The following is a 22,843-nucleotide window of genomic DNA, read 5'->3' on the forward strand; positions in this document are numbered from 1 at the left end:
TGTAGTTGATATGTAACCCAGAAACTCCTACTTGATTAGAAGACAGTTATTGGTAGTATGCCATTGATAGATTTGTTAATTTTTTGTTATATTTATTCAAATGCATATTCATGGTAGAACAATTAGCACTTTCTAGTTTTCATTCTAAATAATGGATATTATAAATAATGGTCTCCAATATTGACTCTTTTGAGTAATTCTATCAGGGACATGTTGAAATTCCAATGACCATTTTTTTTTTTTTTTTTGCCTTAGAGGCATCTTTTGTACATAATGTATTTCTTTTTTTTTTTTTTTCCCTCAAGACAGGGCCTCACTCTGCCACCCAGATTGGAGTGCAGTGACACCATCAGGGCTCACTGCAGCCTTGACCTCCCTGGGCCCGAGTGATCCTCCCACCTCATCCTCCCGAATAGCTGGGACTATAGGTGCACGCCACCACACCTGGCTAATTTTCTTATTTTTTGTAGAGAGAGGGTTTCATTATGTTGCCCAGGCTGGTCTCAAACTCCTGTGCTCAAGCAATTCACCGAGATTACAGGCCTGAGATTACAGGTGCTGAGATTACAGGCCTGAGCCACCGTGCCCAGTCCTCATAATGCATTTCACACACCATAGTGTGGTGAGCACATTCTTTCACTGAAATAACACTATCCATATTCACATATACAACTGGCATTGTTAGAAACATCTGCTATACATATGTCTTTATGAGTTGCATCCTATTAGAGCACCACAGTGTTTCGGTGACCAGTGAGTGCTGGTTTACCATCAGCTTTCATTGTTCCCTTCTGACGGTGTATTTCTCAGTTTTTTCCTGGGCCCAGTGCTGCCCAGAGTAAAGGCTACATTCTTCACTCCTCCTCGCAGCCAAATGGCATAAGACTAGTACCAGCCAATGATATATAACAAGTGATGTGGGTAACTTTTAATGTCCTTAAAGGGAGACAGTGTGCTCCTTATTTTGTGCCACCGCTTAGAACATGATCAAATGGCAAGCCACCTGAGATAGTATGGTCTAGACTAGAAGGCTGTACAACAACAGAGGAAGAGCCTGGCTCCTGGATGACCTCATGGAGCAGAGATTCCATGAGGAATCTCCTCCTGTCTACCTCCATACTGTTACATAAGAGAAAAACCTCTGGCTGGGCGTGGTGGCTCACGCCTGTAATCCCAGCACTTTGGGAGGCTGAGGTGGGTGGATCACAAGGTCAGGAGATTGAAATCATCCTAGCTAACATGGTGAAACCCTGTCTCTACTAAAAATACAAAAAAATTAGCCAGGCGTGGTGACGGGCACTTGTAGTCCCAGCTACTCAGGAGGCTGAGGCAGGAGAATGGCGTCAACCAGGAGGTAGAGCTTGCAGTGAGCCGAGATCACGCCACTGCACTCCAGCCTGGGCGACAGAGCGAGACTCCGTCTCAAAAAAAAAAAAATAGAAAAAGTTCCATCTTGACTAAGTCACTCTTGCTTAGGTGTCTGTTACATCAGCCAGGCTACATCCCAACTAAATCTCTACCCTAACCTTTGCGAGACAAACCATTGCATTGAGATTATATAAAGGGAAGTTGGGGGAGAAAGAGAAATATATGATGATGATACTGGTCAATGTTCCCTATTCTTCAGTTTTTAAAATATTTTTTAAAATTCAAGTTCAAACTAATATATATGCTAAAATAAATATGAAACTAAGCACATAGTTTGTATTAGCATCTAATATCATGATGACTTTATTTTACTTTTTCTACTTTATTTTTTCATTCTCCATAGTTCTTTATTCAGCAAATGCACATTGAACAGCAGAATTCTGTTTTAAACACCATGAAGGAACACTGAAGCACTATGAGGAGCAATGAGGTGGATAAAAAAGTACTTACTTTCTCTAAGGAGATTACAGTGTACTTGTGGAGATAAAATGTTTCTTAAAAGGTGGCATGTGATAAGTGCCATGGAAAGGATCCCAAGGAGGCATGTCGGCTCAGAGGAGACATCCCTGTCACCCGTGGGCCTTCATGACCAAGAGATTGTTTGAGGAGGTTTATTTTTATTGCATTTCAAAAGAATATTACCTCAATAACAACATATGGCCAGGTGCAGTGGCTCACACATATAATCCTAGCACTTTGGGAGGCCAAGGCCAGAGGATTGCTTGAGCCCAGGAGTTCAAGAGCAGCCTGGGCAATACAGTGAGACCGTCTCTACAAGAAATAAAAATAAAAAATAAAAAAAATAGCCAGGTATGGTGGCACATGCCTGTGATACTTGAGGAGCTGAAATGGGAAGATCACTTGAGCCCGGGAGGTTGAGGCTGCAGTGAGCCATGATCATACCATTGCACCCCAGTCTGGGCAACAGAGCGAGACCCTCTCTCAAAACAAACCAACCAACAAACAAACAAACAAAAGCAATGTAGGTATTTTTTGTTACTGGATAGTTTATGTAACTGTTCTTTCAGATTCTGTCTATCCTTTAAGCACATAACAATGATCTTTGCATTTTCATCTTACTCTCAAACATTTTACTGAGATTATGTTATTATAATCGTTAACAAATTTATCTCTGGGTATAAAAATTTCCTCATTATTAATAAGGAAATAAAACAAAGTAATGGTGATGATACAATCTTTTCTTAGATTGCAAATATTCTCATAAGTTATTACAAAAAATATTCCCTATTTATTGGGCAAACAGTGCCCCCTTTTGACCACTGGATCCTATGAAAGAAATCCTAAGACAATAGACTCTTCATCTCTGCTAAAAATTGAATTATATAGAGAGTTATATAGATGTATATTATTAGATCTAATTATATATAACATTTATGTTATATCACTATAATACCTAATTATATATTTTATATATGGTATATAATTTCTAAAGAAACTATCCTATATAACTTTAAGGATATATTGTGTGCTTTTTATTATTTATTTTTTAGACTCATGTTGTATTTTGTTAAGTGATTAGGTCCACTAGAGTGTTTAATGGCAGTTTTGTAAGATCCACATTTTAGTTTTATGAATCTTCTTTATCCTGTCTGATTCAGGTTGAATACGAAGGCTTAAAGCATGAGATTAAGCGATTTGAGGAGGAGACGGTACTGCTGAACAGCCAGCTGGAAGATGCCATCCGATTGAAAGAGATTGCTGAGCACCAACTGGAAGAAGCCCTCGAGACTTTAAAAAATGAAAGAGAGCAAAAGAACAACCTGCGGAAGGAGCTCTCCCAGTATATCAGCCTCAATGATAACCATATCAGCATCTCAGTAGATGGACTCAAATTTGCCGAGGATGGGAGTGAACCAAACAATGATGACAAAATGAACGGTCATATCCATGGGCCTCTTGTGAAACTGAATGGAGACTATCGGACTCCCACCTTAAGGAAAGGAGAGTCTCTGAACCCTGTCTCTGACTTATTCAGTGAGCTGAACATTTCAGAAATACAGAAGTTGAAGCAGCAGCTTATGCAGGTAAGAACTTTGTTTAGGGCCGCTAGAGTGAATTTCTTGTAGATTGCAGGTAGCATGTTGTGGGACTTCTGATTCTCGCATTTCACTTCTAGATTTCTTTTCTTTTTTCTTTTCTTCTCTTTTCTTTTCTGTTCTTTTCGAGACAGAGTCTTGCTCCATCGCCCAGGCTGGAGTACAGTGGTGCAATTTCGGCTCACTGCAACCTCCGCCTCCCAGGTTCAAGTGATTCTCCTGCCTCAGCCTCCCGAGTAGCTGGGACTACAGGTGCCCGCCACCATGCCCGGCTAATTTTTTTGTATTTTTAGTAGAGACGGGGTTTCACCGTATTAGCCAGGATGGTCTCGATCTCCTGACTTCGTGATCCGCCCGCCTTGGCCTCCAAAGTGCTGGGATTACAGGCGTGAGCCACCGCGCCCAGCCCCAGCTTTCTTTTCTAAATATTGCTTCTTCAGCTAGAAACTTCGAAAGTGCAGTATTTTAGAAAGACATGACAGAAGGAGCGTTAAAGAGAAATGCAGTCTCTCATTTGCATCACTTCAAGAAATGAACTTCTGAGAGCCACAAATTGAGCTCCAATGAAGTCTGAGAAAAGACAGAAAAAAGTTCCTTGGGCCGGGCGCGGTGGCTTACACCTGTAATCCCAGCACTTTGAGAGGCTGAAGCGGGCGGATCACCTGAAGTCAGGAGTTCAAGACCAACCTGGCCAACATGGTAAAACCCCATCGCTACTAAAAATACAAAAAATTAGCTGGACGTGGTGGTGGGTGCCTGTAATCCCACCTAACTCAGGAGGCTGAGTCAGGAGAATCACTTGAACCCGGGAGGTGGAGATTGCAGTGAGCCGAGATCGCCATTGCACTCCAGCCTGGGCAACAAGAGTGAAACGTCATCTCAAAAAAAAAAGAAAAAGAAAAAAGAAAAGACAGAGCCTTAATGCATTTCTGATTAACAAAAGAATTCAAAAGCTTTATATACAAGTAAAATGATGGAAACCATGCAGTTTTTCATCACAAGCAACTGTGTTTATAGCTTCCAGATTTATGGTTACATTTCACAGGAATACTTGAAGCCTTAAAAGACGTAAAGGACTTCCTATGTACAAATTATCCAGGATACCGTATGATTAAAAATACAGAACAGGTATAATCTAAGACCAAAGGATTCTTATTGCAACATGAGTTAAACCTTAAATTTTTAGCGTCTTCAAAACAAATGTCTTGTGAAGATCCCAGCCTTGAAAAAATCGCTTTCTAGTTTAGAGTCTTGCCTTCCTGCCACATGTAATGGAAATGTTGTTTAAGAAACAGCAGCATTACCATCACCTGGGGGCTTATTTATACAAATTGTGGAGCTCCGTGTAGATCTACTGAACTAGAAACTGAACTAGAAATCTGGTATAACAAGCTTGTTAAGTGATTAAATTTGAGGCTTAATCTTCAATCTCAATCTTATCTCTCCAAGGTTCTTCATGTATAGCTGATAATTAGAGGCTGTTAAGCCTCTGGCAGTCATCTGCCTCCACGGAAATGATGACTGGAAAAGTGAAATTAGCAGAAATAAGTAAGAGAACAGAGAGCCAATGATGTTGATTTGTTAACAGGTTTATTTTCTATGTCTTTTTGCTCAGTTTACACTAATATGACTAGATTGATTGAAACAGAAAACATATTTCCTTGTGAAAAAGTTTTACATGACAGATGTATTCATAAGAATTTGTGCCCCCCAGATTGAATACCATTAAATAGAAGTTTTATGAGTTTTGTTTAACTCTCATATTGGTGGCTTTGAGATAAAAAGTTAGTGGGTTCAGGCTTTTTGTTTATTCCTTTTGTTTTGGTGGCAGTGCAGAAGATAATAGGAAAAGAGGCTTCTATGCATGAAACAGCACAACAATTTTCAAGCAGGTCATCTATTGGCTGAAAGCTCAGAGCTGTGCTCAGATTTAATTCTAAATGTGATCTGAATTGGGTAATACAAAAGTCTAAAAAAGATGAAAAGTTCAATTAAAAGAATGGTGGAAAACAAGTAAGTACTCAGCTGGAGACTGGCTCTCCTGAGTTCTCAATAGACTGTCGTTTTCGTTTGGTTTAGGCGGTTCCTCATTGCCAGAGAATGTTTTCTTCCTTGAGAAGGTTTAGCGTCTCTGATCCCAACTCATGAGATGCTGGTTACATTTCCTCAGTTGAAGTGATGACCAGAAACTCCCCATGTATTTCAAATGCTCTGAGAGTCAGCCACTAGTTGACAGTCATTCTTAGAGGACAGCACTTTACTTTCCCATGGAATGGGATACATAATACCTTCCTCGTTAGAGTGTCATGAAGGTTTATGAGTTATATGCAGAGTGCTGAGAACAGGGACTAGTGCACAGTAAATGCTCATTAATTATGAACTGTTATCATTATTTCAACTCCATTGGTCCTTTAATTTATTAGGCACTCACTTTATAATAATTTAGATAATTATTATTAACTATTATTTTTGGGCTATTAGCTCAAGGCCAATCACCCCAAAAGGGACTGATGTGGATACTGGTAGGAATATAGAAAAATAACAGTTAAGTCTCATGGTGCAAGAAGGTCTGAAAAAGGATATTCATTTAGCAAAATGTTAGGGTGAGAAAAACTTTGCTGGATAAACCCTCCATCAGTCTATTGAGAAAGCTGTGTCCCTTCAAATCTTTCTTCAACCCTTAACTGATGTTGACAGTTTGCAAAGATGTAGAGGGGCGCAGGTAGGTCCTTATATCCCAAAGTTTGCTCCAGATTTAGTTGTGAAAACCAGGTTCAACACAGGAAGGGCTTTGCAGCTTCCAATCTCATACTAACAACACTAACTGTAAATTTTTTTTTAGGTAGAATATCCATTTATCTTCTTGTAATCAGCGTTTTTAAAAAGCATGTCAGCTTTTCCTAAGAATATATTTTATTCAAACAAGTATATTCATGAGAAGTATACCTTCTCATGAACTATTTTTTTGCAATACAGTTTTTTCCTTAGCCACACATCTTTTTGGGTTAAATTTATGTAAATAAACACATTACAAAAACATTACAGGATACATTGCCTAGAATTTATTGTAATTGGCTTTGATGTTAATAAGGATTAAAAATAATATGGCAAGTCTGATCAATGAGAGTACTGTGCACCTGAAGCATATATGTGTCAGTACCATTGTTCTGGAAATTATGAAGAGGAACCAATCAAATGTACTTTAAGTATAGCTATCTGGAATGCTTGGGACCAGGTGTGTTTTAAAAATTCAGGTTTCAGATTGTAGAAAGGTAATATGCAGCATATACCACATAGATTGTGATATCTCCACTGGGATCAGATGCAGCATCCGGTGATCAAATAATATTAACATTTCTGCAGTGAAACATGAGTATTCACACTAAGAATAAGATGAGGACCATTAAAGGCCTTACACCAGTCAGGTGCAGTTTGGCTGCCCTGGGAGTTTAGGACTGTCTGAATACTGCCAAGTGAGTTTTATCATAATCAAGTGAATTATGATAAAACTTGATTTCGAGCTTTTTGGATTTTGCAGTTGCAGGCGTTGTAGGAATAGCACTGTCCTGTTGGGCGGCTGTCAGTTTTGCGCACCTCAGCTTACAGTGTCAACATACTTGGAACGTGACAGTTTGTATTTTCATTTTTTTTTATTATTATTATACTTTAAGTTCTAGGGTACATGTGCACAATGTGCAGGTTTGTTACATATGTATACATGTGCCATGTTGGTGTGCTGCACCCATTAACTCGTTATTTACATTAGGTATATCTCCTAATGCTATCCCTGACAGTTTGTATTTTCATAGTTCCTTTATCTCTTAGGATTTCTCCTGGCCTGGATCCAAAACACTGCATGGGAGAGGCCGCCTTGTGCCTCTAATCCAACAGCTGTGCTTAGCTAACAGCTCATGACAGTGTAGAGGGGCACAGGCAAGGCTGTAACTCCCTGAACCAGGTGATATGCAGCAGTTCAGGTTTTCTTCCTTCTGATCAAGTACCCCTTTGATGGAGTAAGTTCAAGAGATCTATAGTACAACACAGTGACTGTAGTTAATAACAATGTATTGTATTGAAAATAAAAGAGTAGATTTTAAGTGTTCTCAGTGTTGTAGAACCCCTAAATGTAGGTCCACGTGTTGGATGGGCAGTAAGCCAAATACTGACACATCAGTGCTTAGCAGCAGAGAAAGGTGTATTCATTTTTCCAAAAATGACATTGTGGGAGAGGCAATCGGTCAAATCCTACCTGCCTTTGAACGTAACTGGGGGTTTTTGTGAGTAAGGCAGCTGTGCAGGAGAATGAAATCCCCCAATGATCAAAGTTGTTTGTGTCCCGCAGCTCAATCAGACTTCTGGATGCCATCAAGGAGGTCTGCATGACCTAAGGATCATTGTTCTTTGAAAGGAAAACAAGTTCATTAATCTTACTGGCTGCCAGGGTTAGGATGCAAAGTTAATCAATTATTAGTGACTACCGTCTACCGAATGACTACGTGCAAGCAGTCATGCATGGAGGAAGAAAAGGACAAAGAGAAAGGAAAATAAGTAAAAAACAAACGTTTAATGATTTTGATAATATAGGCTCAGTTACATCACCACAAACATGATAAGTATGTCAGGTCATGCATGTCATAATTAGCTCAATTTCCACTTTGCCTACATATTTCAAAACATCATGTTGTACATGATAAATATGTACAATTTTTGTCAGTTAAAATAAATACATTAATTTGTTTTTAAAGAACTCCTTTGAAAACAGTATACCTAGTCCATATACCCTTTCGGCCTTTTCTTCTCCTACAAGGCTCAATGTATGCCCATGATTTATGTTTTCCCATCCATAGGTATTTATTTAACCTGGTTCCAGGAAAAAAAAATGCCTCTGTCGACGAAGCAAGTCAAACTCTGTAAAATATTTTAAGAGATTTATTCTGAGCCAAGTATGAGTGACCATGGCCTGTGACATAGCCCTCAGGAGGTCCTGAGAACATATGCCCAAGGTGGTCGGGGTACAGCTTGGTTTTATATATTTTAGGGAGGCATGAGACATCAATTAAATACATTTAAGAAATACATTGGGCCGGGTGCGGTGGCTCACGCCTGTAATCCCAACACTTTGGGAGGCCAAGGTGGGTGGATCATGAAGTCAAGAGATTGAGACCATCCTGGCCAACATGGTGAAACCCCATCTCTACTAAAAAAAATACAAAAATTAGCTGGGCATGGTGATGCATGCCTGTAGTCCCAGCTACTTGGGAGGCTGAGGCAGGAGAATCACTTGAACCCAGGAGGCGGAGGTTGCAGTGAGCCGAGATCGCGCCACTGCACTCCAGCCTGCGACAGATCAAGACTCTGTCTCAAAAAAAAGAAAAAAGAAAGAAATACATTGGTTTGGTTCAGAAAGGTGGGACAGCTCACAGCGGGGGCTTCCAGGCTATAGGTAAATTTAAACATTTTCTGGTTGACAATTGGTTGAGTTTGTCTGAAGGCGTGGGATCAATGGAAAGAAAATGTTCAGGTTAAGATAAAGGATTGTGGAGACCAAGTTTTATTGTGCAGAGGAAGCTCTCAGATAGCTGACTTCAGAGAGAGCAGGTTGTAAAATGTTTCTTATTGCACTTAGAAGGGTGCCTGGCTCTTAGCTGATTATCTCCTGGATCTGGAAAGGAAGGAAGGAAAACAAAGCGGGGAAAGGGGATTCTCTACAGAATGTGGATTTTTCCCACAAGAGACTTTGCAGGGCAATTTCAAGGTATGGCAAGGAAATATATTTTGGTTTTCTTTCTTTGCCAGTATCAGATTGGAAAGTAACTCTTGATATACAGGGTTAAATAAAACGCATCCGATGAGAATTTATGGTTTGTAGGGCATGAACTCCCCAGACCCCTTAGATAGGAATTTGGGCAAGATAAAAAAAAATCAGATCTTAGTCCTCACCTCTGCCTTAATTATCAGGAATGTTGAGTGAATTGTTTTGCTTCTCTGAGGCTCATTCAAAAGGGGAAGGTAATAAATTAGCCCCACCATTTGTCTCTGCCATGCCTTTGTTGGAACTATGGAAAAAACAAAACAAAACAAAAATCAGGTCTCCTTCTTGAAGCCATCATACTGCCATCTGCTGGGAAATGGTAATAACAAGTATAAACATTTATAGCTACTACAATTTAAATAGCACCTCCTGGAGTTGTTTGCATACAACCTGCAGACTTCTGCATTGAAGCCCTGGTGATAATGCCATGCCTCCTCTGTAGAATTGTGAGGACCAAATGGGATGGTAAATATGAAACTGTGTATAAGTCATAACATTTTATAAATTATTATTGTCCTGGAAACTGCCATCAGGTTTCGAGATGCCAAGAAGGTCCCCACTATCCCTGTGTATAAACGGTCAATACATAAATTATAAAAAGTATGGGAAAGGCAAGTGGTGGTAAGCCTGTATCTAAATTAGGGAGAGCTTTTTCTCAGAATAAATTAGAGTGAATATTTTACTGAATTGTATGCCTTCCTAGGTTATGGAATAAAATACAGGAATATTTTAAACTTAGCTAATCATGCTAAGTTTCACATAATACAGAAACATATACACAAAAAATACAGTAAGAAAACATTTTGATTCACCTCAGTCTCTATAAACTTGACAATAGTCCTTGATAGTGAATAGTTCAATGAGTGTCATCCTTTATTCATGAGAGAAGTTTTTCAGAGTATTATCGGATAAATTATTTTGGTTTTTTGGTGCCCTCAAGACCTCATTATTTCAAATAGGTTGTAATTGACATTTTCCAGTGGCAGTCAAATACCTTAATTAGTTTTATTAGAATGAAAATAAGTAGATTCTGTCTGGAAATACTAACTAAATTACTTAATCAATTTAAAGGTGTCCTGTATGCTTGTGCTGAAATTTCTGTCTTTGATAAATAGCCTCTAACTTTACATCTGCATAGAGTCAAACTAAGCAGGGGAAAACTCTTTGGATTTTTTTTTTCAGTATTATGCTGGGTATATAATTTCACATGTAGTATGAGAAAACAGTAATGTTTCTGTAAAACTAAAATTAATATATTCTGTTGCATCCTCATGGATGTGGAAGAAATATATTCATATTATGTTTTGATCCACTCTATTAAAGGCAATTTTAGTTTTTTCTATAATGATTGATGTTAAGTGGTGATGGTAATTTGCTATATGTCCCATAAGAGTTCAAAGCAATTTTTATATATTTGCTTAATTGGTTGCTGCTTATAACAACTGTATGGGGTAGAGAGTATTATTATCTTCATATTATAGATAGGGAAACTGAGGCATGACTGTGTTATGTCATTAGTTCAAGGTCAAAAATCTAGTAAGTGGAGTTGCTACACAGAGACAGTCGAACAAGTGAAATATTATCTCTGCTTAAACACTCACAGAATATTTATAGGATGACATTAATGAAAACAAGATTGGTTAGTTCTTGGGTTCTGAAACTTAAAGTGACAAGTATAATTATTTCCTAGTACAAAGCTGACAAATGGCTAAACTATTACAGATTTTATAGTTAGAGATTACAAACTAGCTGGGCGCAGTGGCTCATACCTGTAATCCCAGCACTTCGGAAGGCTGAGGCAGGAGGATAGCTTGAGGCCAGGGGTTTGAGACCAGCCTGGGCCACATGGCAAAACCCCATCTCTACCAAAAATACCCAGAAAAAATTAGCTGGGCACGGTGGTGCGTGCCTATAGTCCCAGCTACTAGGGTCGCTGAGGTGGGAGGATTGCTTGAGTCTGGGAGGAGGTCAAGGCTGCAGTGAGCCATGACCATGCCACTGCACTCCAGCCTAGGTGAAAGAGCGTGACCCTATCAATAAATAAATAAAATAAAAATAAATGGAATCATACAATGTGTGGTCTTTTGTGACTGGCTTCTTTCACTTAGCATAACATTTTAAAGGTTCGTCCATGCTGTAATATATCAGCACTTCATTTTCATTTCTTTCTGTTGTCAAATAATACTCCATGGTATGCAGATACCACATTTCATGTAACCATTCATCAGTTGATGGACACTTTAGTTGTTTGTTTTTTTAGCTATTATCAATAAAGCTGCTATGAACATTTGTGTACAAGTTTTCGTGTGCACGTATGTTTTAATTCCCGGGGGAGTTAATACTAGAGGTGGAAATGCTGGGTCATATGGTAATTCTATGTTTTACCTTCTGAGGAACTGCTAGTTTTGAAAACAAATCGAGTGTACCATTTTTTTATCCCCACCAGCAGTGTATGAGTGTTCCGATTTCTCCACATTCTCACTAACACTTGTTATTATGTGCCTTTTCAATCATAGCCATCCTGGTGGATGTGAAGTGGTATTTCATTATCATCTTGACTTGTATTTCCTTGATGGCTATGATGTTGAGCATCTTTTCATGTGCTTATCTGCTCTTTTATATCTTCTGTGGAAAAATGTGTATTCAGATTATTTTTTGACTGGGTTGTCTTTTTATTTCTGAGTTGAAAGTGTTCTTTACTGATTTGGATACAAATCCCTCATCATAAAAGTGATTTATGATTTGCAAATATTTTCTCCCATTCTGTGGGTTGTCTTTTCACTTTCTTGATGGTGTCCTTTGATGTACAAAGGAGTTTTTTTTTTTTTAAAAGAGATGGGTCTCACTATGTTGCCCAGGCTGGAGTGCAGTGGCTATTCATAGGCACAATCATAGCACACTGCAGCCTCAAACCCCTGGACTCTCCTGGCCTCAAGCAATCCTCCCACCTTAGCCTTCTGAGTAGCTGGGACTACAGGCGCATGCCACTATGCCCAGCTAAAAAAACTTTTTAATCTTGATGTGTCTAGTGTATTTTTTTCTTTTGTTGTTTGTGCTTTTGGTGTCATACAAAACTGTTGTCTAATCTAAGGTCATGAACATTCATGGCTAGGTTTTCCTCTAAGAGTTTTATAGTTTATCTCTTACATTTAGGTCTTTGATCCATTTTGACTTAATTTTTGAATATGATATGAGGAAGAGATCAACATTACTATTTTACACGTGGGCATCCAGTTGTCCCAGCACCATTTGTTGAAAAGACTATTCTATTCTTTCTTTCCCCTATTGAATTATCTTTGTACCCTTGTCCAAAATCAACTGGTCATAGATGTATATATGGGCTTATTTCTAGACTTTCAATTCTATTCCATTAATTTATATGTCTGTTTTTATGCCAATACTATAGTATCTTGATTATAGTTTTTTTGTAGCAATTTTTGAAATAGGAAAGTTTGCTAGTTCTTTTTCAAGAAGTTTCTTCAGGACTGTTTTGGCTATTCTAGGTCCTTTGCCTTTCCATATAAATTTTATGACCATCTTGTCAATTTCTGCAAAGAATCCAGCTGAAATTCTGTTGGAGTTTGCATTGAATATGTAAATAAATTTGGGTAGTATTGCCATCTTAACATTCAGTTTTTTGACCCAGAAACAGGGGCTGTTTATCCCTTTATTTAGGTCTTCTTTCATTTCTTTCAACAATGCTTTATAATTTTCAGAGTACAGATGGTCCTTGACTTGTGAATGTTCGTCTAGACTTTTTTATTTAACAATGGTGTTAAAGCAATACCATTTAGTGGAAACCATACTTTGAGTACCTATACAACTGTTCTGTTTTTCATTTTCAGTACAGTAGTCAATAAATTACATGAGATAGTAAACATTTTATTATAAAATAGGCTTTGAGTGGGGCTGGGCGTGGTGGCTCATGCTTGTAATCCTAGCACTTTGGGAGGCTGAGATGCGTGGATCATCTGAGGTCGGGAGTTCGAGACCAGCCTGACCAACAAGGTGAAACCCCGTCTCTACTAAAAATACAAAAATTAGCCGAGTGTGGTGGTGTGCGCCTGTAATCCCAGCTACTTGGGAGGCTGAGGCAGGAGAATTGCTTGAACCCAGGAGCCAGAGGTTGCAGTGATCTGAGATTGTGCCACTGCACTCCAGCCTGGGCAACAGAGTGAGACCCTGTCTCAAAAAAAAAAAAAAAAAAGGCTTTGAGTTAGATGATTTTTGCCCAACTGTAGGCTAACGTAAGTGTTCTGGACACTTTTAAGGTAGGCTAGACTAAGCTAGAATGTTTGGTAGGTTATGTGTATTAAATGCATTTTGGACATGATATTTTCTTTTTTTTTTTCTTTTTTGTTTGAGATGGAGTCTCACTCTGTTGCTCAGGCTGGAGTACAGTGGCATGATCTTGGCTCCCTGCAACCTCCACCTCCTGGGTTCAAGCGATTCTTGTGCCTCAGCCTCCTGAGTAGCTGGGAATACAGGCACGTGCCACCACGCCCAGCTAATTTTTTTTTATTTTTTATTTTTTAGTAGAGACGGAGTTTCACCATGTCGGCCTGGCTGGTCTCAAACTCCTGACCTCAGGCAATCCACCCGCCTCAGCCTCCCAAAGTGCTGGAATTACAGGCATGAGCCAATGCGCCTGGCCATACTTAGGATATTTTCAATTTACAATGGTTTTATTGAGATGTAACCCCATCACAAGTTGAGGAGCATCTGTATACATTTTGCACTTCTTTTTTTTTTCTTTTTTTAAAATTTTATTATTATACTTTAAGTTTTAGGGTACATATGCACAACGTGCAGGTTTGTTACATATGTATACATGTGCCATGTTGGTGTGCTGCACCCATTAACTTGTCATTTAGCATTAGGTATATCTCCTAATGCTATCCCTCCCCACTCTCCCCACCCCACAACAGTCCCCGGTGTGTGATGTTCCCCTTCCTGTGTCCATGTGTTCTCATTGTTCAATTCCCACCTATGAGTGAGAACATGCTGTGTTTGGTTTTTTTGTCCTTGCGGTAGTTTGCTGAGAATGATGGTTTCCAGTTTCATCCATGTTCCTACAAAGGACATGAACTCATCATTTTTTATGGCTGCATAGTATTCCATGGTGTATATGTGCCACATTTTCTTAATCCAGTCTATCATTGTTGGACATTTGGGTTGGTTCCAAGTCTTTGCTGTTGTGAATAGTGCCACAATAAACATACGTGTGCATGTGTCTTTATAGCAGCATGATTTATAATCCTTTGGGTATATACCCAGTAATGGGATGGCTGGGTCAAATGGTATTTCTAGTTCTAGATCCCTGAGGAATCGTCACACTGACTTCCACAATGGTCGAACTAGTTTACAGTCCTACCAACAGTGTAAAAGTGTTCCTATTTCTCCACATCCTCTCCAGCACCTGTTGTTTCCTGACTTTTTAATGATCGCCATTCTAACTGGTGTGAGATGGTATCTCATTGCGGTTTTGATTTGCATTTCTCTGACGGCCAGTGATGATGAGCATTTTTTCATGTGTTTTTTGGCTGCATAAATGTCTTCTTTTGAGAAGTGTCTGTTCATATCCTGCACCCACTTTTTGATGGGGTTGTTTGTTTTTTTCTTGTAAATTTGTATGAGTTCATTGTAGATCCTGGATATTAGATCCAGATTTGTCAGATGAGTAGGTTGCAAAAATTTTCTCTCATTCTGTAGGTTGCCTGTTCACTCTGATAGTAGTTTCTTTTGCTGTGCAGAAGCGCTTTAGTTTAATTAGATCCCATTTGTCAATTTTGGCTTTTGTTGCCATTGCTTTTGGTGTTTTAGACATGAAGTCCTTGCCCGTGCCTATGTCCTGAATGGTATTGCCTAGGTTTTCTTCTAGGGTTTTTATGGTTTTAGGTCTAACATTTAAGTCTTTAATCCATCTTGAATTAATTTTTGTATAAGGTGTAAGGAAGGGATCCAGTTTCAGCTTTCTACTTATGGCTAGCCAGTTTTCCCAGCACCATTTATTAAATAGGGAATCCTTTCCCCATTGCTTGTTTTTCTCAGGTTTGTCAAAGATCAGATAGTTGTAGATATGCAGCATTATTTCTGAGGGCTCTGTTCTGTTCCATTGGTCTATATCTCTGTTTTGGTACCAGTACCATGCTGTTTTGGTTACTGTAGCCTTGTAGTATAGTTTGAAGTCAGGTAGCCTGATGCCTCCAGCTTTGTTCTTTTGGCTTAGGATTGACTTGGCGATGCAGGCTCTTTTTTGGTTCCATATGAACTTTAAAGTAGTTTTTTCCAATTCTGTGAAGAAAGTCATTGGTAGCTTGATGGGGATGGCATTGAATCTATAAATTACCTTGGGCAGTATGGCCATTTTAACGATATTGATTCTTCCTACCCATGAGCATGGAATGTTCTTCCATTTGTTTGTATCCTCTTTTATTTCATTGAGCAGTGGTTTGTAGTTCTCCTTGAAGAGGTCCTTCACATCCCTTGTAAGTTGGATTCCTAGGTATTTTATTCTCTTTGAAGCAATTGTGAATGGGAGTTCACTCATGCTTTGGCTCTCTGTTTGTCTGTTATTGGTGTATAAGAATGGTTGCATTTTGCACTTCTTTTGTTAAATTTATTCCTGCCGGGTGCGGTGGCTCACACCTGTAATCCCAGCACTTTGGGAGGCCTAGGCAGGTGGATCACCTGAGGTCGGGAGTTTGAGACCAGCCTGACCAACATGGAGAAACCCCATCTCTGCTAAAAATACAAAATTAACCAGGCGTAGTGGCGCATGCCTGTAATCCCAGCTACTTGGGAGGCTAAGGCAGGAGAATCGCTTGATCCTGGGAGGCGGAGGTTGCAGTGAGCTGAGATCGTGCCATCGCACTCCAGCCTGGGCAACAAGAGTGAAACTCCATCTGAAAAAAAAATTTTATTCTGAAGTATATTATTTTTTGATAGTGCTATAAAAGCAATTGTTTTATTAATTTTATTTTTCATTTTTCACTGCTAGTATATAGAAATACAACTGATGTTCGTATATTGATTTTGTATCCTGCCACCTTGCTATACTTGCTTATTAGTCCTAATAGTTGTTTCTTAGTGAATTCCTTAAGAATTTCTATTAATATTTACAAGAGCACGTCATCTGCAAATAAAGATCATTTTACTTTTTTCTTTCCAATCTCAATACCTTTTATTTGATTTTCTCACCTAAGTTCCCTGGCTAGAACTCTAGTACAATGATGAATAAAAATGGCAAGAGCAGCCATCCTTGTTTTGCTCTGGGTGTTTCATAGATGCCCTTTATCCGGGTGAGGGAGTTTTCTTCTATGACTAGATTGTTGACTTTTTTTTATTATCACAAATGGATATTAAATTTTGTCAAATGCTTTTTCTTCATATATTGAGATGATCATGTGGTTTTTGTCATGTATTCTATTAGTATGGTATATTATATTTATTGACTCTTGAATGTTAAATCAACATTGTGTTTCTATGATTGCATTTGGTTATGTTGCTGGATTCAGTTTGCTAGTATTTTGTTGAGGATTTTGTGTCTATATTCATAAGAGGTCTTGGTCTTTAGTTTTCTTTTCTTATAATATGTTTCTCTGGGAGGGAGAGGTCGTTTGTTTTTTAGTTTCGTTTTTTTTTCTTTTTTGAAACAGTCTTGGTCTGTTGCCCAGGCTGGAGTGCAGTGACGTGATCTTGGATCGCTGCAACCTCTGCTTCCCAGGTTCAAGCAATTCTCCTGCCTCAGCCTTCCAAGTAGCTAGGATTACAGGTGCCCACTACCACATCAGGCTAATTTTTGTATTTTTAGTAGAGATGGGGTTTCACCATGTTCAGGCTGGTCTCAAACTCCTGACCTCAAGTGATCCTCCCGCCTTGGTCTCCCAAAGTGCTGTTTCTCTAGTTTTGGTATCAGAGTAATACTGGTCTCATAAGAGTTGGGAAGGGCCCCTCTCCCTCCATCTTTTTTAGTCTTCGTCCAGTTGACTGACTTTTGTGTGTTAGTGTGCATGAATTTTCTTTTCACCACACACTCTAAAGTAGACACTTTTAACAACTGATGAATTCCCTCATATAGAGTTTCTTTGTTCTATCTTGATCTTTTTTCATAGAATTATCTTTTGTTGGGGCACAGATATGCATTATCAGAGTTGTTTCTCTTCAAGCAGAGAAGAACAAATTATTTAGGAGTTCCGTTTGTGCATATCGATGCTATGTATACTGTTAGAAGAATCACATGATCATTTAAGTGTCAAACTGAGAGTCAAAAGACTTGGCTGGGCAGGGTGGCTCTCACCTGTAATCCCAGCACTTGGGAAAGCCAAGTTGGCAGGATTGCATGAGGCCAGGAACTCAAGATCAGTCTGGGCTGCATAGAGAGACCCCATCTCTATTTATAAAAAGGTTTTGAGGCTGGGCACGGTGGCTCACACCTGTAATCCCAACACTTTGGGAGGCCGAGGCGGGCAGATCACATGAGGTCAGGAGTTCAAGACCAGCCTGGCCAACATGGTGAAACCCCATCTCTACTAAAAATACAAAAATTAGCCAGGTGTGTTGGCACGTGCCTGTAATCCCAGCTACTCGGGAGGCTGAGGCAGGAGAATTGCTTGAACTGGGAGGCAGAGGTTGCAGTGATCCAAGATCACGCCACTGCACTCCAGTCTGGGCGACAGAGTGAGACTCCGTCTCAAAATAAGTAAATAAATAAAAAATAAAAGGTAAACACTCAGTGAAATAAAAAAAAATTCTATGGGATATAGGAACAACAATGACAATAGTAAACATATGTTGTATACTTACACTAGACTAAACAGTTCACAAATACTGAAGTCAGGTTTTCTGGCAAAACAACCAGCTCTGCTGTGAAAAAATAAAATCTCCAGTTCCAGACAGAAACTGAAGATTGTAGGAAGAGAAATAAGACAACTATTCTCAGTCACTACAGAAGATCATAATAAACTCCTCAACTCTCTGTTGGATAAATTCTTTACAAATGGAAATTAAAATAGTAACACTTAAAATGTATAGTAATTTTAAGCTTTAAAGTGCTTTGCATGTTATTCATTCAGAGCACTAAATCTAAAACAATTTAGGCCAGGTACAGTGGCTCACGCCTGTAATCCCAGCACTTTGGGAGGCCAAGGTGGGCAGATCACCTGAGGTCAGGGGTTTGAGATGAGCCTGGTCAACATGGTGAAACCCCGTCTCTGTGAAAAATACAAAAATTAGCCGGGCGTGGTGGCACGTCCCTGTAAGCCCAACTACTCGGGAGGCTGAGGCAGGAGAATCGCTTGAACCCCGGAGGCAGAGGTTGCAGTGATCCAAGATCACACCACTGCACTCCAGCCTGGGCGACAGAGTGAGACTCTGTCTCAAAATAAATAAAAAATAAAAGGTAAACACTCAGTGAAGTAAAAAATAATTTCTATGGGATATAGGAACAACAATAATCATAGTAAACATATGTTGTATACTTACACTAAACAGTTTACAAATACTGAAGTCAGGTTTTCTGGCAGAACAACCAGCTCTTCTGTGAAAAAATAAAATCTCCAGTTCCAGACAGAAAATGAAGATTGTAGGAAGAGAAATAAGACAACTATTCTCAGTCACTACAGAAGATTATAATAAACCCCTCAACTCTCTCTTGGATAAATTCTTTACAAATGGAAATTAAAATAGTAACACTTCAAATGTATAGTAATTTTAAGCTTTAAAGTGCTTTGCATTTTATTCATTCAGAGCACTAAATCTAAAACAATTTAGGCCAGGCCCGGTGGCTCACGCCTGTAATCCCAGCACTTTTGGAGGCCAAGGCGGGTGGATCACCTGAGGTCAAGAGTTCGAGACCAGCCTGACCAACATGGTGAAACTCTGTCTCTGCTAAAAATACAAAAATTAGCCAGGCGCAGTGGCAGACGCCTGTAATCCCAGCTACTTGGGAGACTGAGGCAGGAGAATCACTTGAACCTAGAAGGCGGAGGTTGCAGTGAGCCGAGATCACACCATTGCACTCCAGCCTGGGCGACAGAGTGAGACTCCGTCTCAAAAAAATAAAATAAATAAATAAATAAATAAAACAGTTTAAGCATCTGCTCTTTGAAATCCAAATACCATTTAAGGTACTCTAAGCCTTAATAGCTGAGTGAAAATACAGTGTTGGAGTTTTACAAAATTACCTGTATTTTAGTAATTTTTTTGTCAGGCCAAACTTAATTATCTGGGAGAAATATATATAGATAGATAGATATGATATATTTATATGTGTATAATATATATTTACATATGTGTGTAATATATATGTAATTTGGATACAATTTCCTATTCAATTGATTTCAGCAGAAACGTATTAAATATAGAAAGTAGTACTGTATAGCAGCAGTCCCCAACTTTTTTTGGACCAGTGATCTGTTTCATGGAAGACAATTTTTCCACAGATAGGGTGCGGGTGGTCTGGGGCCATTAGATCTCATAAGGAGCTTGCAACCTAGATCCCTCGCATGCGCAGTTCACAATAGGGTTCGCACTCCTATGGCAATCTGATGCTGCCACTCATCTGACAGGAGGCAGAGCTCAGGCGGTAATGTTTGCTCGCCTGCCACTCACCTCCTGCTGTGTGGCCTGGTTCCTAATAGGCCACAAACTGGTACTGGTCAGAGGCCTGGGAGTTGGGGACTCCTGTTGTGTAGGGAGGAAACACACATGCAAGAGACAGTGTTCTATTTGATGTTTTCTGGAGATGCTATCGTGAAGACACTGTAGACTTACCTTTTTAGGCTTAGAAAATGTTTATATTAAATCTCAACTGTCAGAGTCCAGATTGAAGGCTGTTCTAAAGGCATGACCTTATTCATCATAACACTTTTGCTGCTAAAACAAGCTTCAGACACATTCAGTACATTTTGTTTTGATCCAATATTTATTTGATCCAGAGGCCTTTCCTTTTGAAGGGCGTTTTGGAAACAGCCTTATCTGTAATCATGTGTACTAATTGAATAACGTTTACACTTTCCAGTGCAAATTTGCTTAATTTTCAAAGGAAAAAAGGAAAACAAAAACACTTCTGACATAATCAGTTTTCACTGAGATTGTATAGAATAGAGATTTTCCATCTCCTTTATGAAAAATTCAAATGACATGGCTATTCATGAAATACCATATTACATAATTACCAGGTTTTTCACTGAAAACTATTGCCCAAATAGTCTGGGTAAGCAAATTCATCATCACCTCTGGAGATACAGTCTGTTATAACTAATGAAATCCAGCTAAGATTTGTATTCAAATATTTCCTGACTCTAAAATGAAAGAGTTGCTTTTATAAAATTTTCAAAATTGTGAGAACAGATGTGTTTGCCATGTAAAAACATTTTGGTTGTGGGAGGTGGACCACAGCTAACCAATTGTTCACAATAGCTAACATTGTAGAACCTTCAGTATTAAATTCACTAACTCACTTCATCATCAAAATTCCCTATGAGGCGTTACTGTGCTCCTTGCATAGGTTACCAAACTGAAGCTTTCTCAGAGTCACATAGCTAAGTAAATGTTGGTCCCGAGATTTGACTCCAGTGTTCTCTGATGCCACAGGCCCAGTTCTTTACCTGCAGTACTATCATTTGGGAATAATTTGGTTTCTGCAGCCATAATATATAATTTGTGGGTTGCTTTCCTTTCATAGGTATGGACAAACACTATGTCATAAAATCAGAGCTACAACTTAAAAGCCTCTAAATAACACCTTGAGATAACAAAACTGTATCTTAGGTTCTAATATATGTGATCATACTATACAGGCAGTCCTTGGTTTGCATAGTAGTCTGGGACAGTAAAAAATGGTCATGCAAACTGAAACCATGCAAAACAAACTTAATAATTAATGGGGAAATTTACAATTGTTTTGTGATCTTTAAATATTTTTGTGAAACATTAAAAAGTCTCTTACTGTTGGTTATAAATATATATAGAAATGAAAATATAGTAAAACTACTTAGTACTTCATAATTTAAAACATTAGGAATATTGAGAGTTAACCTTTTATTTCTTTGTAAACAGCTTATCAAGAGTATTTTGATCTTGCCTTCCCATAAAGCTTAGGGCCGGGCGCGGTGGCTCACGCCTGTAATCCCAGCACTTTGGGAGGCCGAGGTGGGCAGATCACGAGGTCAGGAGTTCGAGACCAGCCGCCAGGCTGAAACCCCATTTCTACTAAAAACCCCATGGTGAAACCCCATTTCTACTAAAAATACAAAAATTAGCCAGGTGTGGTGGCGTGTGCCTGTAGTCCCAGCTGCTTAGGAGGCTGAGGCAGAAGAATCGCTTGAACCCGGGAGGCGGAGGTTGCAGTGAGCGTAAATCACACCACTGCACTTCAGCCTGGTGACAGAGCTAGACTCCATCTCAAAAAAAAAACAAAAAAAAAAACTTAGGACACTGAGCAAGAATCTTTTCTATGCTTTGGCAAATTGTCATCCTCATTTCTAAGTTTGGATCACCTTCCAACATTTTATCCTCTGCACTTTAAACATCTGGAAATATCTTTGTGAGTACCTTTAATGTGCCAGCATCACTTCCTCTTCGACATTTTCATCCTTTTTGCAACTACTGTACTGTACTTTTCTTTTTCTTTTTCTTTTGAGATGAAGATGGAGTCTCACTCTGTCGCCCAGGCTGGAGTGCAGTGGCACAATCTCGGCTCGTTGCAACCTCCATCCCCCGGGTTCAGGCAATTCTCCTGCCTCAGCCTCCCCAGTAGCTGGGATTACAGGTGCGTGCCACCTTGCCCGGCTAATTTTTTAAAATATTTTTAGTAGAGACGGGGTTTCACCATCTTGGCCAGGCTGGTCTTGAACTCCTGACCTCGTGATCCACCCACCTCGGCCTCCCAAAGTGCTGGGATTACAGGCATGAGCCACCACACCCGGCCATACTGTACTTTTTCATTTAATAGATTGAAAAATTTGCCTCCACTAAATTTCTTTGGGTGAACATCTAAAGTCCCTCAAACAGCATTAGTGTCAACATTTCCATATTCAGTTATTTCTTCTATAACTCCATTTAGGTAGTTTTGGGGATTTTTTTAGAGGCAGGGTTTCACTATGTTGCCTCAGCTCCTGGGCCCAAGCAATGCTTCTGCCTCAGCCCCTGGAGTAGCTAGGACTACAGGCACACCCCACTGCACCTGGCTCCATTTATGTTTTTTTTTTTTCAGATTTCATTTCCAACATTGTCACTCTTTGTTGCTGTCCTTTCTTTCTTGTAATTCATTTTTGTAAAACATCACATGGATTTATCACTAGGAGACAAGACAAGGCAACTACATCCTTAGCTGTCTATGAGTGAACTGAATAACAGATACGTAGTAACCAATCACTGGCCGACTTTGAATGAAGTGGTGTCATTGGCCGTTGGTCATGATGTTATGTAGTGATTTTATAGACTGAAGTGCTGGCAGCAAAGATTGTGCGTTATGCATTGCTCACAATCAATATATTTGGTCATTGAAATTTGGACCATGGTTTGAGGAGTAGCTGGTGTTTTA

The 22,843-nt window shown here is 39.3% G+C and overlaps 1 protein-coding gene across 29 annotated transcripts in view; it reads left to right on the forward strand.

The window, feature by feature from the left end:
* Nucleotides 1-22,843, forward strand: part of BICD1 (BICD cargo adaptor 1) — a 276,787-nt gene that overhangs the window by 195,803 nt on the left and 58,141 nt on the right. For 25 of the 29 annotated variants that reach the window (NR_148725.2, NM_001354186.2, XM_011520814.4 and 22 more), the window contains exon 4: nucleotides 3,048-3,473. The exons of 1 other annotated variant lie outside the window; for it this stretch is intronic. Coding sequence is in view for 27 of the 28 variants with exons in the window: in NM_001354186.2 (NP_001341115.1) it covers nucleotides 3,048-3,473 (426 nt within the window). In the remaining variant the exon portion in view is untranslated. Of the gene's footprint in view, nucleotides 1-3,014; nucleotides 3,474-4,934; nucleotides 6,525-22,843 lie in introns of those variants that run through there. 3 more of the 29 variants (NM_001413168.1, NM_001413170.1, NM_001413173.1) reach the window with 2 other exon arrangements.

The sequence above is a fragment of the Homo sapiens genome, chromosome 12 (genome assembly GCF_000001405.40).
Source record: "Homo sapiens chromosome 12, GRCh38.p14 Primary Assembly".
In the NCBI taxonomy this organism is placed as follows: Eukaryota; Metazoa; Chordata; class Mammalia; order Primates; family Hominidae; genus Homo; species Homo sapiens.